This window comes from Homo sapiens, chromosome 3, assembly GCF_000001405.40.
Source record: "Homo sapiens chromosome 3, GRCh38.p14 Primary Assembly".
Lineage (NCBI taxonomy): Eukaryota > Metazoa > Chordata > Mammalia > Primates > Hominidae > Homo > Homo sapiens.
Genome location: NC_000003.12, coordinates 131,694,461 through 131,718,445, shown reverse-complemented (window position 1 = coordinate 131,718,445; position 23,985 = coordinate 131,694,461). Strand labels below are relative to the sequence as shown.

Below are 23,985 nucleotides of genomic sequence, written 5' to 3'. Positions count from 1 at the left end.
AGGATGTGAAAAGGATAGAGGATGCCAGATAGAAAAGAAAAAGCCTGGTCCTGATGCTTTTAAGTGTTTTTCTCTAAACTTTAGAGAGACTGGACTTGATGCACTGAGGTCCTAACTGGGGAAAGGACAAGATTGGATGTGTATATTAGAAAGATCACTTTGGCCGGGTGCAGTGGCTCACGCCTGTAATCCAAGCACGCTGAGGCTGGCAGATCATGAGGTCAGGAGTTTGAGACCAGCCTGGACAACATAGTGAAACCCATCTCTACTAAAAATACAAAATATTAGCCAGGCATGGTGGCAGGCGCCTGTAATTCCAGCTACTTGAAAGGCTGAGGCAGGAGAATTGCTTGAACCCGGGAGGCAGAGGTTGCAGTTAGCCGAGATCATGCCCAGCCCAGGCAACAGTGCAATACTCTGTCTCAAAAGAAAGAAAGAAAGAGAGAGAGACAGAGAGAGAGAGAGAGACAGAGAGAGAGAAAGAAAGAGAGAAAGAAAGAAAAGAAAGAAAGAAAGAAAGAAAGAAAGAAAGAAAGAAAGAAAGAAAGAAAGAAAGAAAGAAAGAAAGAAAAGAAAGAAAGAAAGGAGGGAGCGAGGAAGGAAGGAAGGAAGGAAGAAAGATCACTTTGGCATTCCCCATAAACGGTGGATGGCAGGGAAACCAATTAGGATACTAGTGCAATAACAGGAAGGAAATGCGGGCGGCAGTAGTTATGTAAACTGAAAAGAGGGGGCCAGAAAAGAGCCTGTCCAAGAGCAGAATCAACAAGCCTTGGAGATGAGGTGAGGGAGGCGGAGTTTGCAGGTGTCTGGCTTAGCTAACTGGGGGAGCGATTTGGCTGTCTTTAAGGGGAAATCAATCTTGCCCAGGATGGGGGTGAGGAATATAACATGATGCTGGCCTATTAAATGCAGATATCTGTGGAGAATTCAGAGGAGGGTGACAATCGGCAGCTGACATGAATATAGAATAGACAATATAGATGTGGGAGCTTAATCCCTATAGGTGATAGCTGCTAATATTAGAGTGGATGAGATTCTTCGAGGAGGCTGTTTTATCTTTACTTTTGAAAGGAAATTTTTTGAACGTGCCATATATAAACAAATAATAAAGAATTAAAAAATCAAGGCATATGTAAGGACATCTCTTTCCACTTTCAGATAAAAGTGTGAACTCGATGTTGTCTTTAAGAAAAAAAAAAAAAACCTTTGTTGAGTGTTTTTTACATGGAGTAATATGCCAGACAAATGCATTTGTACTAAAAGCTTTGTGAAGGACAGGCAGAACTTTTTACCCTTTGTGGTTTCACAGGTTTTGACACTTTGGCGTGAATGGGGGTTTTGCTCTTTTCGCTAAATTGCTCCTCTCCAGTATGATCAAGCAAAAAGAAAAAACATCAACATTTTCCTTCTTTAAAACTCCAGAGTAAAAAGAAGGTCCTTCTTCCTGTGTTCTGCCTAGATAGGCAAGGAATGGCTAGATGCAGATGTTGGGCACCCCCGGGCAGGGCAGGGTCAGAGTCTGAGGCACTGTTTCCTAGTGCTGACGTGTACATGGTGTGGGGTCTGATGGTCTGGGGTCAAATCCCAGCTCAGCTGCTCTCAACTTGTTTGTCCAGAGGCAAATTCTTGCAGCCACTTAAGCCTCAGTTTCTTCATTTGAAAAATGGAAATAATAATAGTGCTGACTTCAAGAAAAATTGCAAGGATCAAGTAGAATAATGCACATAAAATGCTTAACAGAGCCCCCGGCATGGAGGGAGCACTCGGGATGGGGAAGCTGTTATTACTGTGGCAAGAATCTAGGAAATGATGGGAAGAGGCAATGCTTGTAGAGACCAACATGTTTTCAGAACAAAGGGGGAAACATACAGCGTGAAAACATTGTGAGAGAGCACCTACGTCCTGGGCGAGTATAATAGTAAAACTGAACTTACATTGCTCAGGTTTGTCAAGTATTTTACTGAGTTGGATTTTAAATATTGTGTGTGTACACACACGTACACGTGTATTTATTCTTCTGATACTATTTTTAAGTAAAAATTGTTTTAAATCAGGTCTCTGAAATAATTTGGGGCAATTATTTTAATTTGGGCCTTAACTGTGGCAAGATAGGGATTGCCACAGTTAAGGCCCTAAAGGAAAGATAAAGTGACTTCCCCAAAGCCACACAGGAACTCACACATTCAGAGTCTGCCTCCTGAAGGCTGCTGTAGTACTCGCTCTGTCTGGCTGAGTTTGCCACATTCTCACTCAGCCTTGTGAAACAGCAGGACTCCTGGCCTTTAGGAAAGGAAAATAGAAGCCTTAAGCATGCTAGAAACTGGCATTGGTCATAAAGCTGAGTATAAGCACAGCAAGTGACTTCACACTGAGCAAAAATGCCAAATAAAGCAAAGAAGGCTGAGGTCCTCAGGGAAACTCAAGGAGAATTGACCATTCTTGACAGATGGATGAGGGGGATGCATCACGAGGACATAGGGTACTCAGAAGCTGCCTCTTTCTGGGTAAGTTTTGAGACCTTCCTTAGATTTCTGTTGCCCAAAAGAAATCAAGGAGCTAAGCCCCTCTTCTGCTACATCCAATAGTGGGTACGCCAAAGAGAGATGTGATCCTTCACTGCCTAGAACAGCAAGCTGACCTTCTTTAATGTGATGCATTTATTTTCTCTTTCACTGCTTATTAACTCATTCATTCATCCTCATATTTTCCCACTTCATCCACCAAAGACAGTGGAACTGAGTCATAAATAAGAAAAATAATTAAAGAAATTTTTAAACTCCAGGCACTTTTATTTAGTAGGCACTGGGTGAAGCTGTTGCTATACTGCACTTCATTTAATCAGCACAACATCCCTGAGAGGTAGGCACTACCATTATTACCATTTTACAGCTGAGGAAACTGAGACTGAGTAAAGCTCAGTAAGTTATCCAAGGTCACACAGCAAGTTGTCGATCTCTTTAGCTCCAAAGCCCTGTATAATCTTTTCCATCTATTCTAATAGCTTGTCACTAACTAGTATAAATGATCAAGTAGCATCTATGAATGCAAAGTCAAATTGGAGTTGACCTGGCTAGTTTTTGGTGTCTTGTTTCTTCTTAAGTTTATTTGTCTTACACAGAGCTGATAGAGGCAGACTAGGAATCCTTTTGCAGATAAATGGGCTTGATCATCTTCCCTCTGGGCTTCTCTACTGAATTTACTTTAAATATAATATGGCTTCTTAAAAAATGGCAGTGTGTCAACCTCCGAAAACCAAAATCTTACAAACTCAGCACCCAGAAGGTGCATTGCTCTGGCCTTCCTTTCATCTTCAACCATGATGAAAAATCCCTTATCAAAATTCAGTGGTTGCACCTGGGTTTCATCATTGCTTTTCTTGCAGGCATTTTCTCTTCTCAGTGGTTTGGAGACAGTTATGACTGTGTGAAGTCATCTTCTCTTCATTGTTGTGTGGCTGTTCTTCAGTGTATGTCTCCTCCAGAAGTTCAGAGGACACCTGTCAAAGCCAAGAACTTCCTGCTTTCTGTCATCATAAGTGGGGCTGGGAAATCCCTGACACCTTGAAGAAGTCCTGGGCTGTCAGGAGTCCTCTGACCCTTATTCATGAGAGAGAGATTATATACCATCTTCTCTCAGGGCAGTGGTTCCCAAACTTGAGCATGTGGCAGAATCACCTGGAGGCATATTAAAATACAAATTGCTAGGCCTCACCCCCAGAGTTATGATTCAAAAGATCTAGGGAGAGATTCAATAATCTGCATTTTCTAAGTTCCCAGGTGATGCTTATTCTGCAGGTCCAGACATCACACTTTGAGAAGCCCTGCCCCAATGCCTCATGTAAGAGGATGCTAATGAATCTTGGACACTGTATTACTAGTTTCAATCAAGAAAGGAACCAGTGTTTTGGGTAATTATCTGGAGAAATTGAAGAGGACATAGAAAACATCTGGTGAACAGAAAAAAGTTGCTTTATAAAGTTTACACTACAAAAAGGCCAATGTACACAGCTTTCAGTTTATGCTCTTGGTAAAGATTTTGAGTGCCAAAGTTTTTTCTCCCATTCATTAAATGAAGTTAAATGGACTTATTATCCATTGGTTTCCTTCCTGACATAAGTGAATGTTAGGATTATGTCAGGCACAGTGGTCCCTGAAAGAGTGGGCAGACCACAAGCTATTGATCAATGGGTATTAGGTTTAGTGTCGGGATGAGCCAGGTTGCTGAACACTGGGTGTTATGATGATGCTGAGGGTGCTACCCAAACTCAATGTAATGCCCACAGTAAGATTCCACAGGTTAGCATTTTGTTGCATACTATCTAATATCCTCATGGTATAAAATTGATGACCCAGGGAAGTCAAATTTACACATTACAGCAGGGAAGTCATTCTCCTTCTGCTTCTCACATGCAAAGCTTGCCCTTACTTTGCAGAATTACTGCAAGCAGAAGCCACGTGAGTGATGAATGATGTCATAAGTAATCACATCATCTCAGCTCCCGTGGACTAGATAAGAAATCCTGGGAAGTAGTGCCATTTTTTTTTTTACTGCTGTCTTTTCTGCTCATAGGCAGCTGGGATTTAAGTAGGGTGGTTGTGGGTGAGAAGGCCCCATTTCTACAGGGAGAATATAATTAATTCTTGCTCTTTTTTTCTAACTTCTAAACAGGCAAGGAATCATAACTTTGGATCCTAGAAACATCCCTCTGCTTTCTCTGGAGTCCTCCTTTTATACTTTGAAATCTCCTTTAGTGTCCTGGATTGGAGTCATGAGTCCTATGTCTTGATCTGCCATCAACTCTCTGTATGGCCTTGGGCAGTTTGCTTAACCTCTCTGTGATATGGTGACTTCATCTATAGAACAAACATTTTGCATTGATTCATCTCTAAGTTCCTTCCAGTTCTAATAGTCAATGATTCTCATTCATCTCTTTCCTTTTCTTGTTTTCGAAATTCAGCATCTCTCCACACATTCTCATTTCTTTTCAAGACACTCTCTCCCCCTTCCACTACCCTTTCTCATCTCATCTCATCTCAGCATGAAGTATTTATCTCATGTAAAGTCATAGATGTCGTTCAGTCATAGATGGTATCATTCTACCTACCTGGTAGCCCCCAGGAAAACAACTGTATTTAATTTCAAAGATAGTTATAAAAAGATGTATTTAGTGACAATTAACACAGGCCCTTTTCCATATACACTCACATTCATTAGTATGATACTTCTACAAGCTCAATATTGGTGCAGAGGAGGGCAAGAGCTTTGGAGCTGGATGACAATTTGCAAGGACTAGTGTATCAATGCTAAAAAAAAAACAGCTACAGGAGCCTGTCCTGATCCTAATCCTTTAAGCCAGGCTGGTGCAGGGCACCCAGCCCCCAGACCACCCTATCAGTGTGCCCTGGGCCTACCTACTCATCCAGGGAGCCACTTATGCCACCTGGGTTGGCAGGTGGCATAAGGCAGTTTCTCAGGACCTCTCCCACAGCTCCCACTTTTGTTGTTTCCAACCAGCTTTCATTTCAATCCCATTTCCACCAGCTCAGAAGTACTGGCTGTAAATCTAATTTAGATCGCTATCTCCATGGCATTTACACATACTCTTCCAATCATTCAGCCCTTGTGTTTCCCCTACAAATGCTGCCATGCTGCACCTTCTCGATTGTCAGCATCCTGGCTGCTTTAAATAAAAATGTATGTCCTTGTCCTAGCCCTAAAGCATGAAACACTCCAACACTATAAACTGAATTCATAGTATGGCAAACGGCCAGTTTGTTGAAGTCTAATAACCAAAAAGCCAATTCACGAAATAATATATTAACCCCCAAACCAACTCTCTTCCAATTACTTTTATTTACTAAAAACTAGATTTCTTGAACTATTGATAAAGTTTACTACAATTATTTTAGAAGTTGTGAAGATTTCGGGAATATTTGTTGGTTTAGACTGCTTATGAAATTTAGTTATTGGTTATCATGAATGTTTCTGAATATCAAATGTAGCCATTAAAAAGCTAACCTGTCCCAACAGGGGATTAAAAATATGGTCCTAACTATTAAAGTACCCATTTCTTTACAGGCCAAGAGACTGGGAGGATATATTTTTAAATGTTAACGGTGATGACATCTAGGTTGTGGGATTATAGATGATGTAGGAAATTACATCTGTGCTTTTGTATTTCTAAAAGGAAACTATATCACATCTATGATTAGAAAAATATTATAATAAATGTTAGGCAAAACATCATAATAAGACCCGCATGCTGACTTCAAAGAACTCACACTCAGGTGGAGGAGTAAGACACGTAAACATTGTGTAGATTTTTAAACAAATGTGGAAGAACTTTAAAACTTGTAAAGAATTCTAATTTGGGAAATTTACAGGAAATCCTTTTGGGGGAGGCATTTGCTGAAGCTGTGCTTTCTGTGAGGTTTTTGAAAGATCAATTTGCAGATGTTAGTCCCCACCCCTTTGTCCACAGGGAGGAGAGTTGGCTGGGCTAATTTGATTCTGATCTTTTGAAATATTATTTTTGATTACAGAAGAGACCCAGGAGGGCTTGGGGCACGAAGAACAAATAAGTTAAGGAACATCTCTGGAACTGAAAATGAGGTTCTGAGATTCCTCCAAAGTCTAGACTCCTCATTTCAAGCTTTATTTGGGAAAGAGAATAGTTTTACTTTAAATTAACCTAATAAAGTTGAGGGGGAGGAAAACAATAACTGCTTGGTTTACAAAAGCATTCCCACGAGTCTTGGTTTCAGATTCACAGACAAAATGAGGCCGGGTATGAATTAATTAGCTTTGTTTTGCATGGAACATGAGCCGTCAAGGGCCCTTCCCATGTGAGCACAGGTCAGCAAAGGTGCATGCTCTTGGGCCTAATCTCCATCCAGGTAAGCCCAGGGTGGGCTGATTACTCGTGCTTCCCTCACTCTTCTTCAGCATCTGCTCATCAGGATGCTCAGGCCAGCACACGTTTTCAAGCCAGTTATCAGAAACAAAGGAAAACATATCCCCCAAACTTCTCTCTCCCCACTGAGATTCAAACCAGTAAAACTGGTATTACAGTGAATGTGCTGACAGGGCACCAGTCAGCAAGACCGAATCAGAAAAGCTTAAAATTGAGAAGACAAAAGCAGTGCTGAGTTTAGCCAACCAGAGCAGGCATCTCTGTGCTGCTCTCTGGTGCTCCTGGACAATGCTTAAATACTCTTTAAGGGGGAATTCACTTTTACATATCAGGTATTGTGAGAATGATAGGGTAACCTATGACTCAGTTTGCCCCTGCCTGTCCGGTTTACACTTACTATCATGGCTTAATTATTAACACTGTTCCCTCTCACTTTCAAAAGTGTCCCAATTTGGACAATATATTTTACGACCACTTGATGATAATCATTTTCATAGCTAGTATTTAGTAAGAGCTGATCACATGCCAGGCAATCATGAGCTTGGTGCTATCAACACTATCATCATCATTATTATCATCACTAGGCCAAGATTACATGCCTCCTGAAGTGGCAAAGGAAGGGCTTAACACCTAACATTTGGATTCAGTCAGAGTGCTAAGCTACTTTTCCCTTACCTTTAAGCTACATTACCTCTGAGCTTTTGTTTTATAAACTTAATGAGAAAAAGATTCTTGTCCCTTTATGAATGCCCCAGGTCTTCCCACTGACTTCCTCCTTGGTTGTCAATCGAAGGGAAGAAACTGATTTTCAGGGGGTCTTGTTATATCTCAGATATTATGTTATGTGAAGCCCCGCTTGATAAATTATGAATTAGGCTCTGGGAGCTCAACTGATTCACCAAAGAGTACACTGACAGTAAGTTGCAGAGCGAAATTTCAAACCTAAGTTGTTCTGATTTCAATACCTGCCTTCTCATTATACTACCTTGCCTACTAAGCCACTTTCAATTTCTACAAGCCTGTGTAAATTTGAAAAGGTAGAGTAGCAGTTCTTCCCATATGCTGTCACTGTAAAACTGCCCACAGAGAGGATAAAAGTATCCTTCCTCACAAGTTGATAAATTGACTCCTATATCTAAAAAGTGTCTTTTTCCCAGCTCAGGCAGACCTGTAACATCTATCTGCAAATGGACACTCCACCAAAATACTCTTGGACCAAAAGGTCTAAGAAATGTATAGCAGTTAGACCCCATCTTTCCCTTGACATGGATCTATTGTTTATATGGCAGTTAAGGGTAACAATAATCTGAAAATAACTGATATGTATTCAATGAATAATGCATCTATCTAATGCTCTCAATAATAATCAAAAGCTAATATACATGTACTCACTTATTCAAATAAATATATATGGATTCTTTATCCACTTATTGGAACTTACTATGTGCCAGACACTCTTGTAGGCACTGCAGATTCAGTTGTGAACAAAGGAGGCAAAGCCCTGCCTCATGGAGCTTACCTATTCCTACATGATACAATAACAGATAATAATGATCTCATTGAAAGAAAGCACACATGGGATAAGAAATAGAGGGTGGCGGGAAAGGACTGGGTGCTAATTTAGGTAGGAATGTCAGGAAGTCAGAAGAAAATGTAAAAGTGTGGGCATGAGCCATGTAAAGACATCCAGAAAAGTGTTCCAGGCAGAGGGAAGAGCAAGAGTTCTTATATTCTGCCAGACCCTATGCTGAAAGCTTCGTACCAATTATCTCATTTAATCCTCACAAACCCCCTGAGGGTAAGTGTCATTATTTCTTCATTTTGCTGCTAAGCATTTGAACCTTGAAGTAACTTGCTTAGGAGCACACGATTTTCTAATGAGGGAGGCATGAGTTAAACTGAGCCTTCTGGCTCTGAGATAACATCCCCACCTCAACTACTAAACAGTTCCATGCTTTGGTCAGTCTGCAACAACCTCTTTGCCAGCACTTTTAACACAAGATTTAGAGAATGGCTGATTGCTGAGAAACAACATCTGCAAAGCCTGCATCACCAATGGATCCACAGGGATAGGGCATTTAAATGATTGGGTCCCCACGTTCACCAGATACGGCACTCTAGCAACTGCTGGGATCTCTTGCTGCTATGACTCTCCTTCAGCTCTGTTAGAGGCTGTGGGACCAGCATCCCAGGCTCTTCCTCCGGACACCCAAGAAATTCTCCCACATGACGTCAGTTTAAGCCAAGCAAGAATTTTCCGTCCCTCCATTGCATTATTTGTAGGAAATGGCTTTATTGTTTTTCTGTATGCAAAGATAATATAGGCTCATTGCAAAAACTATTTAGAAATAGAAAAAATAAAATCACCACCATTGAGAGATAACTAATAAAAAGCCTACCATTAAGAGATAACTACTAAACATCCTGATATCAGAATTCATGTAATGTGTCCACTTACCGTGGACATTAAGGCTGTTTCCAGTTTTTTAGAATTATAACATTTTTATGAGTATTATATTATTATGTGTGTATGTATATATATATATATATATATATATATATATATATATATCTTTATGCCCTCAGACACTGATTTTTTTTAGAATGAATTAGTAACAGTGTATTATTTGAGCATTCATTTTAAGGTCCTTGCTATAAACTGCCAAATATCCCCAAAGAAAAACTGTAGCAACTTACACTGCCCCTTTCAGTGCACAAAGGTGCCTTTTTTCCTGCATCCTCAGTAACACCTCCAACTTTTCACTTTCTTTTGAAGCTTCTATCACCACAAAAACAAGGATACAGCCTCTGTCCTAGTTGAATGTCCCCCCACAGAGCCTTCGCCATCCCCAGCCTGAGCAGAGAAGACACAGAGGAGAGTGTGTCATCCCTCAGCTCCCCCTTGGCCTTGGGGACTGGTCCCATCAGAAGGTTTATTCAGAGGCTGAGGGTACAGTGAAGACAGGAGACATCACTGTGGTTCTCAGCTTGGAAGACTGCCTCACTCTCACACCCTTTTCTTTCTTTATACATTCCTCCATCAGCTCCTGCCCTTCCATTTATCATCTATACTTGGAGACTCTTAGCTCAGGACTCTTCTTTGAGCCCAGACTCATGTATTCAGCATTCTCTAGATATTAATTCCACTTGTATGACTCACAGACATCTCAAACTCAGCAGCCCAAAACAAAGCTCTTCATCTCCTCTTGCCCTCTCCACACCCCTTGCCATCTTCCCCTTCCTCTAATGTGTCCTACTCACTCAGTAGCTCCTTCTTCTTCCCAGGAGCCAGAGGTCCAGACCCTAGGAGCTTTTCCTCATGGCTCTCATTCACTCTCTATCCCACAGCCCATCAATCAGTCATGAAGGCCCATCAATTCAGTGTCTCAAATATCTCTACTATCCACCCCTTTTCACCCCTTCCACAGCCAGGACCCCTAAGCCAATAGGTGACTATAATTATCTCTACATGGGGATTTATTGAATGGGAGAGAAAAGAAGAGGAAAATAGCATTTCCCAAACATTTGTATATGCCTGATGCTGGGATCTTGTTAATGCTCATTAGATATACAATAAACCCATGGAGTAGTACCATTTCACAGATGAGGAAACTGAGGCTCAGAGAGGTTAATCTGCCCAGGGTTCCATACCAGGGAGACTATTTGGAGCCTTATATGTGATGCTTGCTGTACCATTCTATAGCAAGAGTGAAGCTAGGGGGCTGGTTCAGTGGCCCTTGTAGTGGTTTGAGTAAGAGGGAACTCTCCTCAATGGTAAGTTCATTGAGGATAAAGAGTGAGTGTGAATTTCTTTGTGTATCTTGTAAGGTTTAGCTCAGGGCCTGATCAAGTCCTGCCTCTGTCATTTATCAGAGACAGGAGAGTTTAGCAGTTAAGGGAATGAACTCTGGAACTGGACTGTCTGGATTCAAACCCCAGCTCTGCTAATTACTGGCTATGGAACCTTGAGCAAGTTACTCAGCTCTCTGTAGTGGGCTAAACAGTGGCCCCCAAAAATATATGTCCATACCCTGAGTCCTAAATCCTGTGAATATGAATTTATTTGAAAGAGCCTTTGCAGATCTAATTAAGTAAAGGATCTCAAGACGAGAAGGTCATCCTGGATTAACCAGGTGGGCCCCAATTCTAGCGACACAGAGGAGAGACAGAAGAGAAAAGGACCACATGAAGAAGGAGGTAGAGTGAGGCAGCCACAAGCTGAGGAGCTGCAGCAGCCACAAGATGCTAGAAGAGACAAGAAGCAGAATCTCCCCTAAAGCCTCTGGAGAGAGTGTGGCTCTGCCAATACCTTGATTTCAAACTTTTTCCCTCCAGAGCCATGAGCACATTTCTGTTGTTTTAAACCACAGAGTTTATGGTCATTTGTTATGGAGGCCCTAGCAAGTGAATATATTTGGTCAATGAAAAGAGTCAAACTATGTAAAATATTTGAAGGGATTTATTCTGAGCCAAATATGAGTGCCCAATGGCCCACGATACATCCTTCAGGAAAACCTGAGAACATGAGCCCAAGGTGGTCAGGCTACAACATTTTAGGGAGACATAAGACATTAATCAATACATGTAAGATATACATCGGTTCAGTCTGGAAAGGTGAGACAACTAGAAGTGGGGTGGGGGGCATTGGGATCATAGATAGATTCAAAAATTTTCTGGTTGGCAGTGGGTTGAAACAGTTAAGTTATTGTCTAAAGACTTGGAATCAATAGAAACGAATGCCTGGATTAAGATACGGGGTTGGTGAGACCAAGATTTTATCATGCAGATGAAGCATCCAGGCAGCAGGCGTCAAAGAAAAGATGGCAAATGTTTCTTATCAGACTTGAAGAGTCTTAAAGTCTATGTTGATGTTAATGCTGGTCAGCTGGGCCTGAATCCCAAAAGGGAGGAGGGTATAATGAGGCATGTCTGACTCCCCCTTCCTATCATAGCCTAAACTAGTTTTCTTAGGTTAACTTTGGAATGCCCTTGGCCAAGAGGAGGAATCCATTCAGATGGTCAGGGGGCTTAGAATTTTAATTTCGGTTTACGATTCTGTATACCTCAATTTTCTCATTCATACGTAAGCTTATAATACTTACCTTGCAGAGCTGTCATGAGAATTAAGTGAATCAATATACATAAGGCACTTTACAGCGGTAGCTGTCACATAATCGGTGTTTTCAAAGTAGTGTTTATTATGACCCTTTAATAGTTGTGTGACCTTAGTTATTTTTGAGCCTGTGGTCTTTTTCCCTTGAAAAAGTAATAACAAAAATACTTAGCCTAACTATAGTATCTCAAAGTGGGAGTTTGCCTCTTTCACTTAAAAACGGTCAAAGAATTCCTTCAAGCATCTTCTGACCTATGAACTGCTAACATTCAGGTGTCAAGTCTCACTGAAGACAACTCACAACCCACCAAAGGCAGTGATTGAAAAGATACCATGTGCCCTTGACCCGACAAAATGCTCTGGCCAGGACATTAGGTGCTAGGGGATGTGGGTCCTTTTCTCTTTCTCCTGGCTGCCACCTGGTGTGGCCGGGGGAGGGAGATGAGAAGCGGAGATGGGGGTGAAGTGTGGGGCAGATGGCCTCTGACTAATAACTGAGCTGGGTCATTTGTAATGATGACAAGGCATTACCCAAGAGATGAGGCAAAGGTGTATAATTAATACACAAGCAGTCCTTAAAACTCTCTCTGAAACCCTCCTTCCATTCCTTCCCTTGCTAATGAAGTCAGAGACAGGGTAAAAGCCTGTAATTACACTTGAAGTAATTAGAACGCTGTGAAATGGAAAGCTTAAGACAGGAAGCTCAAACTAATGGAATACCTATTGCTCTTGTTATTCTGACTCATCCTTCCTAGGATGGTGCTTTTGTAGGTCTCCACTGGGGAGCTGAAGACTGTACTGAATTTGCATAAAATGTAGACACACATGCACATCACCCTTTCCTTCCCCAGAGTGGCCAAGAAAGTGTCAGCATTGTGCCTTCCTCAGTTTCTACAACTTTTACCTATTAATGAAAGACCAAATCAGCAGAACAGATTAATTTAAAAGCCCTTCCAAAGATAATTTTTAAAAATCTGAGCATTTTATATTTAAACTTTTTTTACATGCAATTCTCCCTTTCTAGCTCAGTGCTTCTCAACATCAATGTGCCTGCAGAGCACCTGAGGGTCTCCTTAAAATGCAGATTTGGATTCAGTGGGTCTGGGGTGGGGCTGAGATTCTGCATTTCTAACAAGCTCCCCAGCCTTGCTGCTGCTGTTGGACGGGGGAGTGGTATACAATGTGAGTAGCAAGGATAAAGTCCTTCTTGGTCCCACAAGTGACTTCACTTTCCTCCACAGCAATGATTCCAAACTTCTCATGTAGAGCTTGAAAAATGAATAAAAATTTTCAATTGAAGGGAAAGAAGAGCAAGTGAGGAGGAAGAGTGGAGGAAGAAGGGAAAAGTGGGTGGGAAGGTAGGAAGGGAGGGAGGGAGGGAGGGAGAGAGAATGTGTGTGAGTTCGTGTATGTGCATGATCAGGTGTCTCTTCTTATAAGGACACCAGTCCAATCAGATTGGGGCCCTACCCTTATGACCTCATTTGACCTTAATTATCTCCTTAAAGTTTTTATCTCCAAATACAGTGACTCTGGGGGTTACAGCTTCAATATGGGATACACAATTTCATCCATAACACTAAGTGACCTTAGATGAACTCCTTAATTTCTCTAAGACTTGATTCCTTCATCCCAATTGCTTGGAGACAAGAAAGAGTTAAATCATTAAATGACAAGAAATGATCATTAAATGACATTTCATAAATGATCATTAAATGACAAGAAATGAGTTCATCTAATTAGCATTAAGTGTTCCACATATCATCTGTCACAGAATAAGTGTCTTGGTTGTGTTCTTCCAGACACAGTCAAGCATTGGAGGGTAAGTAGATTATTTGTGAGGTGAAGGAAACAGCAGGAGAGAAAAAAGAGAAGTGAGATAGCAAAGAGAAAACAGCCAATAAAATAAAGGGTGCATTAGTTAACAAATCACCACTGGGAGAAACTGGAGCTTCATTTCACTGGGACAAGTCAGGCACCCATATTGAACAAACACCCAGTGTCAGCCCTCACTACTGAGACAAAAGAGCCGAGATATTTATGTACCAAAGACCATCAGTCACTGGTTGAGATCTGCTTCCAAGGGATGACTACCTCCCCACTTCCATCTTGCTGTGCTTGTGGATAGTAGCCATGGATACCAGAGGAAACTTTCAGGCAAAGAGATGCCTGAATTGGCTGTTGGAAGCCCTACCAGCTCTGCAAGAGGGAGGCCTGGGAAGTTCTGGGCAGTTTTTCCTTGCCTGCTACAGTGAGAGACCAGGAAACCTTAGTTCTCCGTAGTGGTTGGTCCTAGTAATTGTACTAGGAGTTTGCAAAACACTAGAGAGACTCCTGTACCAAAGAAATCTCAGGCCAAACAAGTGTAAGGAATGCTTGTTTCATGGGATTCACAACTAAAGCTCTGTTGAAGTCCTGTAGTTGAAATGTTAAACTTTGTATAATCCTATAAATTCCAAACTCATTTACACCAACACTTTTTCAAATAATATGTATTTACCTTTTAAGGAATAAAAGTTCTATAATGCATGTTTTGGGGCTATCAAATTAAAGCTAGCTGAGATTTCACTACATTGTAAGATGTTTTTAATCTGTTTCTACTCACCATTGTAGCCTATGAACAGTAACTGGTACCTAGAAAGTATTCAATAAATATCTGTTATTGTAACTGTTTTAAAGAATATAAAAAAAATTCTGAAAATATTTTCAATAAAAACAGCCTCATGAAAAATGACTCTCTAGTTCCAAAAATGACTGTTTCGAAAGACTTCGGAATAAAGTTCAGCTGAATATAAACTTGTTGAAATACTGAGCAGTTTATTCTCCTTGCTTTGTTCCCACTTAATGAAACAGTGCATTTTTCTAAAATTGAAGACCCATGCTGTTAGAAGCCATTGTCCACTTTGCTAGAGAAGAACCACTTCTCCCCAGATCCGTGGGTGGATGCAGATAAGAGGGCTAATGGTACTAAGGCCTCTCTGGTCCAACCTTGCTAAAAAGAGTATTTCAACTTCTAAATCCTCCCTCTACACTTCACCCTTTTGTTGAATACTAAGGTTTGCACCTGTGACCCCATCATAGGGTATAAAGAATCAAATTAAGGAACTTCTGACAAATGGATCCCTTTTAACCTTGATGTCAGGCACAATTTGCTATTTGTTGGCCTCAAATGTCAGCTGAAGCCAGGGTGAGAGTCCTTGTGACTCTGACTTTCTCATCTTCTGTCAAGACCTAAAGCATTTTTGAGCTGGGTGCAGTTGCTACAGCTGCAGCAAAGTGTACATGATAAGTGGGATTTGCAACAAATAGGCTTTTCTCTACAGATCACTGCTCCAGTTGGGCTTCTTTGCTATTTTTGCCCAACTGTCCTGAGAATAGCAACATCAATGGCAACTCATTTCTTGTCCATCATTATTACAATGAAAAATTCAAAACCCTGATTATTACTCATTCCTTGGAGCTGAGATGGAAACCTCGAGGCTGTAAAACACCACTTGTATACCCAAATGCCCATTTCCTAAGAAGGGATATTTCCTGGGAAATTGCTTATCTTCCTAGCATTTGCAAAAGGCAAAAGCTGGCATACAGTAGCATTTTCTTCATTCCCTGCAAATGGAACATTGGTATTTCTAGATAAGTTAAGAGTGAGGAGAGAGAACTATGGCCATCCAGGTTCTCTTGGGATTAGTCTCCTTTACTCTTCCTTGAATAAAGATAATGTGAATCTTGTAAGACACTGTCTGTAAAATGGTCTACCCACACCTGCTAATGCAATGAGTGGGCTATTATAGGGCCGAGAGGGTTGTTGGGGTCTCCTGACATCAGGGGAGTAGGTGACCAATGCGGATGAATCACAATGACAATGGACATTAGTATTTCTGAGACCAGATTTGTTTGGGAAATGGGATACATTGCCTTTCTTTAGTCAGATGTTGTCCTGGCTACTGCTTACAGATGACCCTTGTTTTGTCACTTACTCATGTGTCTTCCCCACTTCCCTTGCTGGAAAAAACGTGCAGAGAAACTGTAAGCTCCGTGAGGTTAGACATTGCATCAGATTTTACTTACCACTCTATTCTTAGTGCCTACCACCAAGTCTAGCATACAGTGGGGGCCAAATAAATATTTGTAGAATGAATAAAGCATCTGTAACATAATATGTACTCCTTAAGTGAGAGTTTCCATTGCTACATTGCTATCATTGTTGTCATCATCATCACAAACATGATCATGATCATGGTCATCATTACCAGGTGATTTTTTTACAGAAATATTTTCTCTTCAGATTATAGCAGACTGAACATCAAGATCTTTAAATCTGCTTGTCCTAGGGAAGTTCTCTGGACTTCTTGCATTTGGCACTAGTAGAGACTTGGTATTTTCATTGCTGTAACACAGACAAAAATAAATGAAAATTTCAAAGAATGAGTTTACCTCCTGGCCTTTCATGGTGATCTCCTTTCCTGTCTTTCTGTGAATAATATGTGTACAGTATCATTGCTCTCTGCTAATAAAAAATTACTTCAAAACTTAAAAAAAGTACTTCAAAAGCTTAAAAAACCAAACATTTGTTATCTCAGTTGCTGTATGTCAGGAATCAGGGTACAGCTTTTCTGAGTCCTCTTCATATATTTTTGTCTCTGTGTTACTGCAATGAAAACACCAAGTCTCTACTAGTGCCAAATGCAAGGGTTTCTCATGAAGCTGCAATCAAGGTGCAGTTATCTCAAGGCTCAACTTAGAGGAGAATCTTCTTCCAGGCTTACGCTCCTGGCTGTTAGCCAGAGACTTCAGTTTCTTGCCACATGGTCTGTCTATAGGACTACTCACAATCTGTCAGCTAGCTTCCTCCAGAGCAAAGGCTCTGAGAGAGAGAAAGAATGAGAGATAGTGGTAAGATATAAGATATAAGATAGTGATAAGAGATAAGTCACAGTCATTTTGTAACCTATTCTCAGAAGTGATATCCCATCACTTTTGTATTATTCTATTTTTTAGAAGCAAGTCGCTGGGTCCATCCCACACTTGAGGGGAGAATATTACACAATAGCATGAATATTATGAAGATAGGATCATTGTGGACCATGTTAAATAGAAGCTTCCAGCCACAATGGATGATGTTGTTCCCTCTAAGCATGAGTGTAGCTTCAACTTGGTTCTTTTTTTTTTCTTAATTGTACTTTAAGTTCTAGGGTACATGTGCACAACATGCAGGTTGGTTACATATGTATACATGTGCCATGTTGATGTGCTGCACCCATTAACTCATCATTTACATTAGGTATATCTCCTAATGCTATCCCTCCTCCCTCCCCCCACCCCACAACAGGCCCCAGTGTGTGATGTTCCCCTTCCTGTGTCCAAGTGTTCTCATTGTTCAATTCCCACCTATGAGTGAGAACATGCAGTGTTTGGTTTTTTGTCCTTGCGATAGTTTGCTGAGAATCATGGTTTCCAGCTTCATCCATGTCCCTACAAAGGACATGAACTCATCCTTTTTTATGGCTGCATAGTATTCCATGGTGTATATGTGCCACATTTTCTTAATCCAGTCTATCATTGATGGACATTTGGGTTGGTTCCAAGTCTTTGCTATTGTGAATAGTGCCACAATAAACATACATGTGCATGTGTCTTTATAGCAGCATGATTTATAATCCTTTGGGTATGTACCCAGTAATGGGATGGCTGGGTCAAATGGTATTTCTAGTTCTAGACCTTTTAGCCCTTTTCTCCTTTGAGAATCATGGGTTGCCAACCAATCATGGCTTCAATGCCTTGTCAAACTTCTCTTTCAAAAAAGGAAGAAAGAGGAAAAAGAGAATGGGACAAGTTCTGCTAGGAATAGCTTTCAGTATGATGATGATTTTAGTTGTCATTGCGCAGGTGCATTGGCATTGAATCATGAAGAGAACCGCAATTACTTCTATTGACTTGTCTGAGCATCAATTTTCTGATGACTTACTTTATGACTTCCTAATGAATATATTAAAAATAGAACTCTAGAAGTTATATTTAGCCCTTTAGTTCCTTTCCCTCCCTGCACCCCATCCCCCACTTTGCCTGGAGGCTTAATGATATATTTGAGATCATTTTGAAACTTTATCTACTTTGTCTTAACATACATGTTTAAAGTTGTCTGTCTAATTTTAATATACATCCTTCATCAACAATTAAGCCACCTCCCAATTGACTGCATTATCTGTAATTCTTCACTCACTAACTCTCTCATATCACACACCATAAGAAGAAAGAGAAAAGGGAATAACCTATATTAGGAGAGGCTCATTGACAAACCCTGAAATATAAATTGACACAAACGTGAATGCAGAGTTTTGTAAAAAAAAAAAAAAAAAAAAAAAGGTTTAAAAAATAGATCTACAGTTAAATGACTAGTATCTCTACCTTTTGTTACCTTTTGTTTCCTTTTTTGCAGATTGTTTCCCAGAGAAAGCTGTCCAAATCCTTGCTGAAGCATGGGAACACAGCAGGGAAATCTTCCATCACGGTAAGCAGGCACTCCCTAAGCAGCTGTCTGCCTGAGTGGAGAGCCTGGGCGGACTGGCCAGCCCAAACCAGACACTTGGGAAGCAGACTTTCTGATATTGGGAGTTGGTGCCACAACTACTGAACTATTGAAATCACTCCCTTATTTTTCTTTCTTTCTCTTTTCTGACAATACAATTTTGATCCTTCTAACTCTAGGAAAAATAAAAAAGGAAAAGCATTTGAAAGTAAGGTTATTTAATTCTAGTAAGCACTTCTGCAATTGCAAGATAGATTTTAGTGGAGGAGAAAGATGTAGTTGTTGAGCACAGTGAGATTACGGAATTGTCTAGCATTTTCACACAATCAAAGCTTCAAAGCTACGTGTCCTCGTCTCTCATTTATTTTGAGAATTAAAATTTTGCTTTGATAGCATTTACTTCAAGGTTTGGTTTGTTTCCTGACAAACAAAGAGCTCAGCATTTAACACTCCTCTTTGATATAATAGTTTGGAGGTTTACTGTGTGATTCAGTAGCCACTAGCCACATGTGATTATTTAAATTTTAATAAAACTATTTAAAATTAAAGTAAATATTCAGTTCCTTAATCACACTGGCCACATATCCAGTGCTCAATAGTTACAAGTGGTTAGCAGCTACCATATGGGACAGTGTAGATTATAAAACATTTCTATAATTGCAGAATGTTCTATTGGGTAATGCTAGAAGTATTTCTAAATAAGAGCTTACATTTTTGAATGGAATGCCTGGTATTTGAAAGTTCGACATCTTCTATTAAGAGACCTTGAAAAAGGTAGAGGATGTTGTCCAACCATTTGGATGTATGGAGTGAAAAAAGAAACAAACAAAAAGACAAGCAAAAGAAACAAGGTAGAAAAAACTACAAGGAAATTCTGAATTGCTAGAGAGGCAAATTGCCAGAAAACGAACCTCTTGAGTTATTTTGAACATTCCTTTTTAACTAGAGAGAAACCAATTTTTTTTTTTTTTTTTTTTTTTTGAGACAGTGTCTCAGCCTGTCACCCAGACTGGAGTGCAATGGCACGATATCGGCACACTACAACCTCCACCTCCTGGGTTCAAATGATTCTCCTGCCTCAGCCTCCCAAGTAGCTGGGATTACAGGTGCCCACCACCACACCCAGCTAATTTTTGTATTTTTAGTAGAGATGGAGTTTCACTATGTTGGCCAGGTTGGTCTCCAACTCCTTACCTTGTGATCCGCCCCCCTCGGCTTCCCAAAGTGCTGGGATTACAGGTGTGAGCCACTGCACCCTGCCCTGATTTTTTTTTTTTTTTTTAAGCACAGGAAAAATTCAAAAGAGCTGTCAGTGAAAGTTGTGGCCATTCTCACAAGAACTTACCTGAGTTTGTTGCTTGAATATTTTAAATGACACTGTCATGTTAAAGCTTTTTCTTGACTGCCATCTTCAGTCATGAATCAAAGTGTTCTTTGAAGACACTGATGGTGCTCTGAAAAGCTATGGACCCACGGGTTCACTCCCAAAGCCCACAAAACCAGTAGATCCAGGTATGAATTTGCTATGGTTCTTTCTCAAAAGAACAAAATCTCATCTTGCCATATTTTCTCTGAGATATCCTGAGATTTTCTTTCTCCACATATCCAAGAAAAGTTTGATCTTTTTCTTTTCTTTCTTTTTTTTTTTTTTTTTTTTGAGACAGAGCCTTGCCCCTCTCCCAGGCTGGAGCACAGTGGCACGATCTCATCTCACTACAAGTTCCACCTCCCGGGTTCACGCTATTCTCCTGCCTCAGCCTCCCGAGTAGCTGGGACTACAGGCGCCCACCACCACACCTGTCTAATTTTTTTTGTATTTTTTTAGTACAGATGGGGTTTCGCCATGTTAGCCAGGATGGTCTCGATCTCCTGACCTCGTGATCCGCCCGCCTCACCTCCCAAAGTGCTGGGATTACAGGCATGAGCCACTGCCCCTGGCCCCATTTAATTTTAAGTATTTAAATGCTCCTCAACTTTGAGTCTTTAGATCAAAACATTGGCTTTAATAGCTTCTAGAAAACACTTGAAAAGGTGCATGAAATTTTCTAGGTCTCTGCAGATGGTGAAAATCATAACTTTCATCAGTTTTCCAAAGGTGTCTGTGATCACAAAATACTTAAGGGTCAGTAATCAAATGAAGTATAAGAGGCATTAAGGTGGTAAGGGACAAAAGAGAACCAAATGAAAAATACAAATATGATAGTTCTTGGGTTATCAACCAGTTCTAGAGTTTTTCCTATATACCTGGACTCACAATCTCTACTCTCAGTTGTTCACACATTTTTGGGTCTATCTGTCTTAAGGTAGCCATCTTAGCTTTAAGATTAAGTGTAAATAATTTAAATTTTCCAAAATATTTGGAATATTACCAGTGACTATTGAAAGTATATGGACCCAACTCATAATGGAATTGTTGAGCTCAGATAGAAAAGAGGTAAAACTGAATTATCAGTATCTTGATATAAGCAATTTGATAAGCGTATCCATGTGCTGTGGCCACAGAATACATGGTAAATCCTAACATTATTTATAAAGGTTTTAACTTATCTGCAACTTGACTGGCTTCTAGATTTTTGTTGCTTTTGTTGTCATTATTTTTCTCCTGACTTTCTCCACCAATTTCTGCTCCAAGGCTTTGTTGAGAGTCACTAACTATTAAGTATTGGAAAATGACCTATTATGAGAAAGTCTTTTGGACAGTAATTTCTTCACTTATACCAAAATCTTTGTCAGGAATGGTCTGTACTTGGGTGTTAGGGCTTAAATCCTTACGTATACCCATATCTTCATCTCAGAAAACCCAGGGACAGTCTTTTGAAAAATAGGAATTAGAAAAATTTGACATAAAAACTAGTTTATTCCAACATTTCTTGTTGGTCTCACTCAAAAAGAAATATTGCTGTTTTTCCTTCTCTGTAATTTACCAAAGGGAGACATTGTAGTTAATTATAGAAATACTATCCAATGCCATGTGACCTTTAAAGAAAGAAGCTCTTCCAAACTGCTCTTCTATTTTTTCCTTCAGCTTGGGTCCCATCTCTTATGTTCTCTTGCTCAGTATAAATGGTGTCTAGTTATTTACCATTGTCTATTCCAGGGAGTTCCCTTGAATACCTAGAATTGCTGTGCTGTAGTCACTAGGGTTGTGGAAAAACTCTTTGCCCAACATTTGTCTTTGTTGAGTTTTGAACCAAACAGGAACTAAATTTGCTCATGGGTTCTGGAGCTAAGGAGTTCACCCTCTATTGCAGCTGATGTGTGCTTTTTCCTTTAGGTGATTGCTGAAGAATTATCTGGCAATGACGACTATGTTGAGCTTGCATTCAATGCACGGAAATTGGATGACAAGGTAAAGCGTTTGGCATTAACCTTATTGAAGGAAGTAACAAAGCTAGCACACAGTTTAATCAGATTTCCCCCTGCAACTATTTTTCCCTTTCCACCCACATTATCAAACAGATCCAAAAATTCAGAGAGGTCTACAAAGTAAACTTTCCCCCACATTAAAGATCAATTAATGAGAAAGGGAAGGGACTGTAATTAAAACAAGACAATTCTATGACACCAAGACTGTTTCCAAATGCCACCGGTGAGATGTGCACAGGTAAATATGATTTAACCCCATTTCTAGGGACATTCTAAGGGAGAGGAGAAGATATGAAAGGGAAGAAAAATGACATTTATTGAGCACCTATGTTTGCCAAGTACAGGTTTAAGAGCTTTTTATGTGGTATCACATTTATTCATTTGTACAACTCCTATTTATCACGTATTAATAGTCAGCCCACTTATGCATTCACTGGTTCACTCTTTTATTTGTTAATTTGTTCATTCATTCATCATTCATTTTCCAAACCTTTGTTGGGTGCTTGTTATGCATGAGGTGCTGGAAAAAAGGCATATCAAAAATGGACATTCCACTCTCACATCTGCAACCTGGAATTCATCATTGAAGTAAAACATACATCTAAAAAACAAATGATATAGTAATAATATATCCACAATAGAATGTGATAAGTGATATATAATAGTGTGTCCTGGTAAGGCCAACTTATTCTACCTGGGGACATCAGGAAATACTTTATCCTTATAAACTAATTATATTTGGATTTTAAAAGTGTCTTGAATAGATTATATGAAACCATCACAGACTGCTCCATTCTTAACATGAGCATGAACTAGGTGCTGGGAACTGCAGTGTGCATAGATGTCAGTTGGGAGCAAGCTTTTAACTTCACCTTTTCACAACTGTTATGCTCCTTCTCCTTCATCATCTCCCCAAATTTCAGAAAAACTCACAAAACTTCTTTATAGTATCTTCCCTGGTGCTATTATAAGCCACTGGGTCAGTGGATAGCAGTTTTAAGCTACTTGCTTAATGGCTTATAATGGTTTCTCTACACTTAGTATGCTCTTAAGTACCTCTAGTTTGTCATCTAACTGATTTATGTTATAGTAAAAGGGGGCGGGCTTGGAGGTTTGTTGGACCAGTTGGCTTTGAAGTGTTTGAGCAGTTTCCCTTTAGTCAAATGAACACTTGCTCATAGAATTGAAAGAGCCCCCTGCAGCACTTACAGTGGTTCTAAATGGCTATTCCCACCATTGGCTGTACTGATTGTCCAGGACCCTGGTCATTGCTGAGCCTGAATGCCCCAGTGCTGGAAACCCCAGTTCCTTCATAATGTGACTATGTCTTGTCCAGATCCTTAGTAATTCAGAGAACAAATCAGAGGCCTTTGCTCCAGTTTGGACTGGAAGTTAAATGGTCTCAGATGGAAAGAGGGCAAAGTTGTAGAATGGAGGAGCAAAATGATAACATAAAGATCATTTCACACAACCTCTTCAGGAAATGAGGGCTCAGCAAGGTATGATGATTTACCCAAAGACACAACACTACTGCTCTGGTTTTCTATTGCTGCATGGTAAACAATCTATTCTGTGTGGTAAACCATCAAATCTAGCAACCTAAATGAAGAACTATTCCGTTATAGCTAATGATTGTGAGGGTCAGAAATTCAATCAGGGTTCAGTTGGGCAGTTCTGCTGTCTATGATGTTGATGCAAATCACTCAGTGGTACTCAGCTTGTGGATGAGCTTGTCTGGAGGTTCTACACTAGCTCTACGCACATGCCTCGCACATGAGATGGCTGAATGGCTGGGCTTAGCTGGAACAGTCTACCAGAGTGCCTACTTGGTGGTCCTGGGGTAGTCACACTTCCTTTAGAGTATCTGGCTTCTCCCAGAGAAAGCATTTCAAGAGAACAAGGGAGATGCTCGGTGGCCTTTTCTCACCCCTTCCTGGCTTTGGAAGTCATGCATCATCACTGCTGCTGCATTCTTTTAGTTGCAAGTAAGTCATAAGGCCAGCCCAGATTCTAGGACTCCACATCGTGTTAGGGCAGTGGCAAAATCATACTGGAGAAAAAGCA

General features: G+C 40.3%; 1 protein-coding gene across 9 annotated transcripts in view, besides 1 other annotated feature; it reads left to right on the top strand.

The window, feature by feature from the left end:
- Nucleotides 1-23,985, top strand: part of CPNE4 (copine 4) — a 506,038-nt gene that overhangs the window by 321,161 nt on the left and 160,892 nt on the right. For all 9 annotated transcript variants that reach the window (NM_153429.2, NM_001388326.1, NM_001289112.2 and 6 more), the window contains 2 exons: nucleotides 18,466-18,537; nucleotides 21,830-21,904. In NM_153429.2, the coding sequence (NP_702907.1) occupies nucleotides 18,466-18,537; nucleotides 21,830-21,904 (147 nt within the window). The remainder of the gene's footprint in view (nucleotides 1-18,465; nucleotides 18,538-21,829; nucleotides 21,905-23,985) is intronic.
- Nucleotides 3,348-3,667: an enhancer, noted in NCBI's record as "active region_20534". NCBI's record gives its function as "activates an Ori minimal core promoter by ATAC-STARR-seq in GM12878 lymphoblastoid cells {active_cell/tissue: GM12878}" and the evidence as "EXISTENCE:reporter gene assay evidence [ECO:0000049][PMID:35858748]".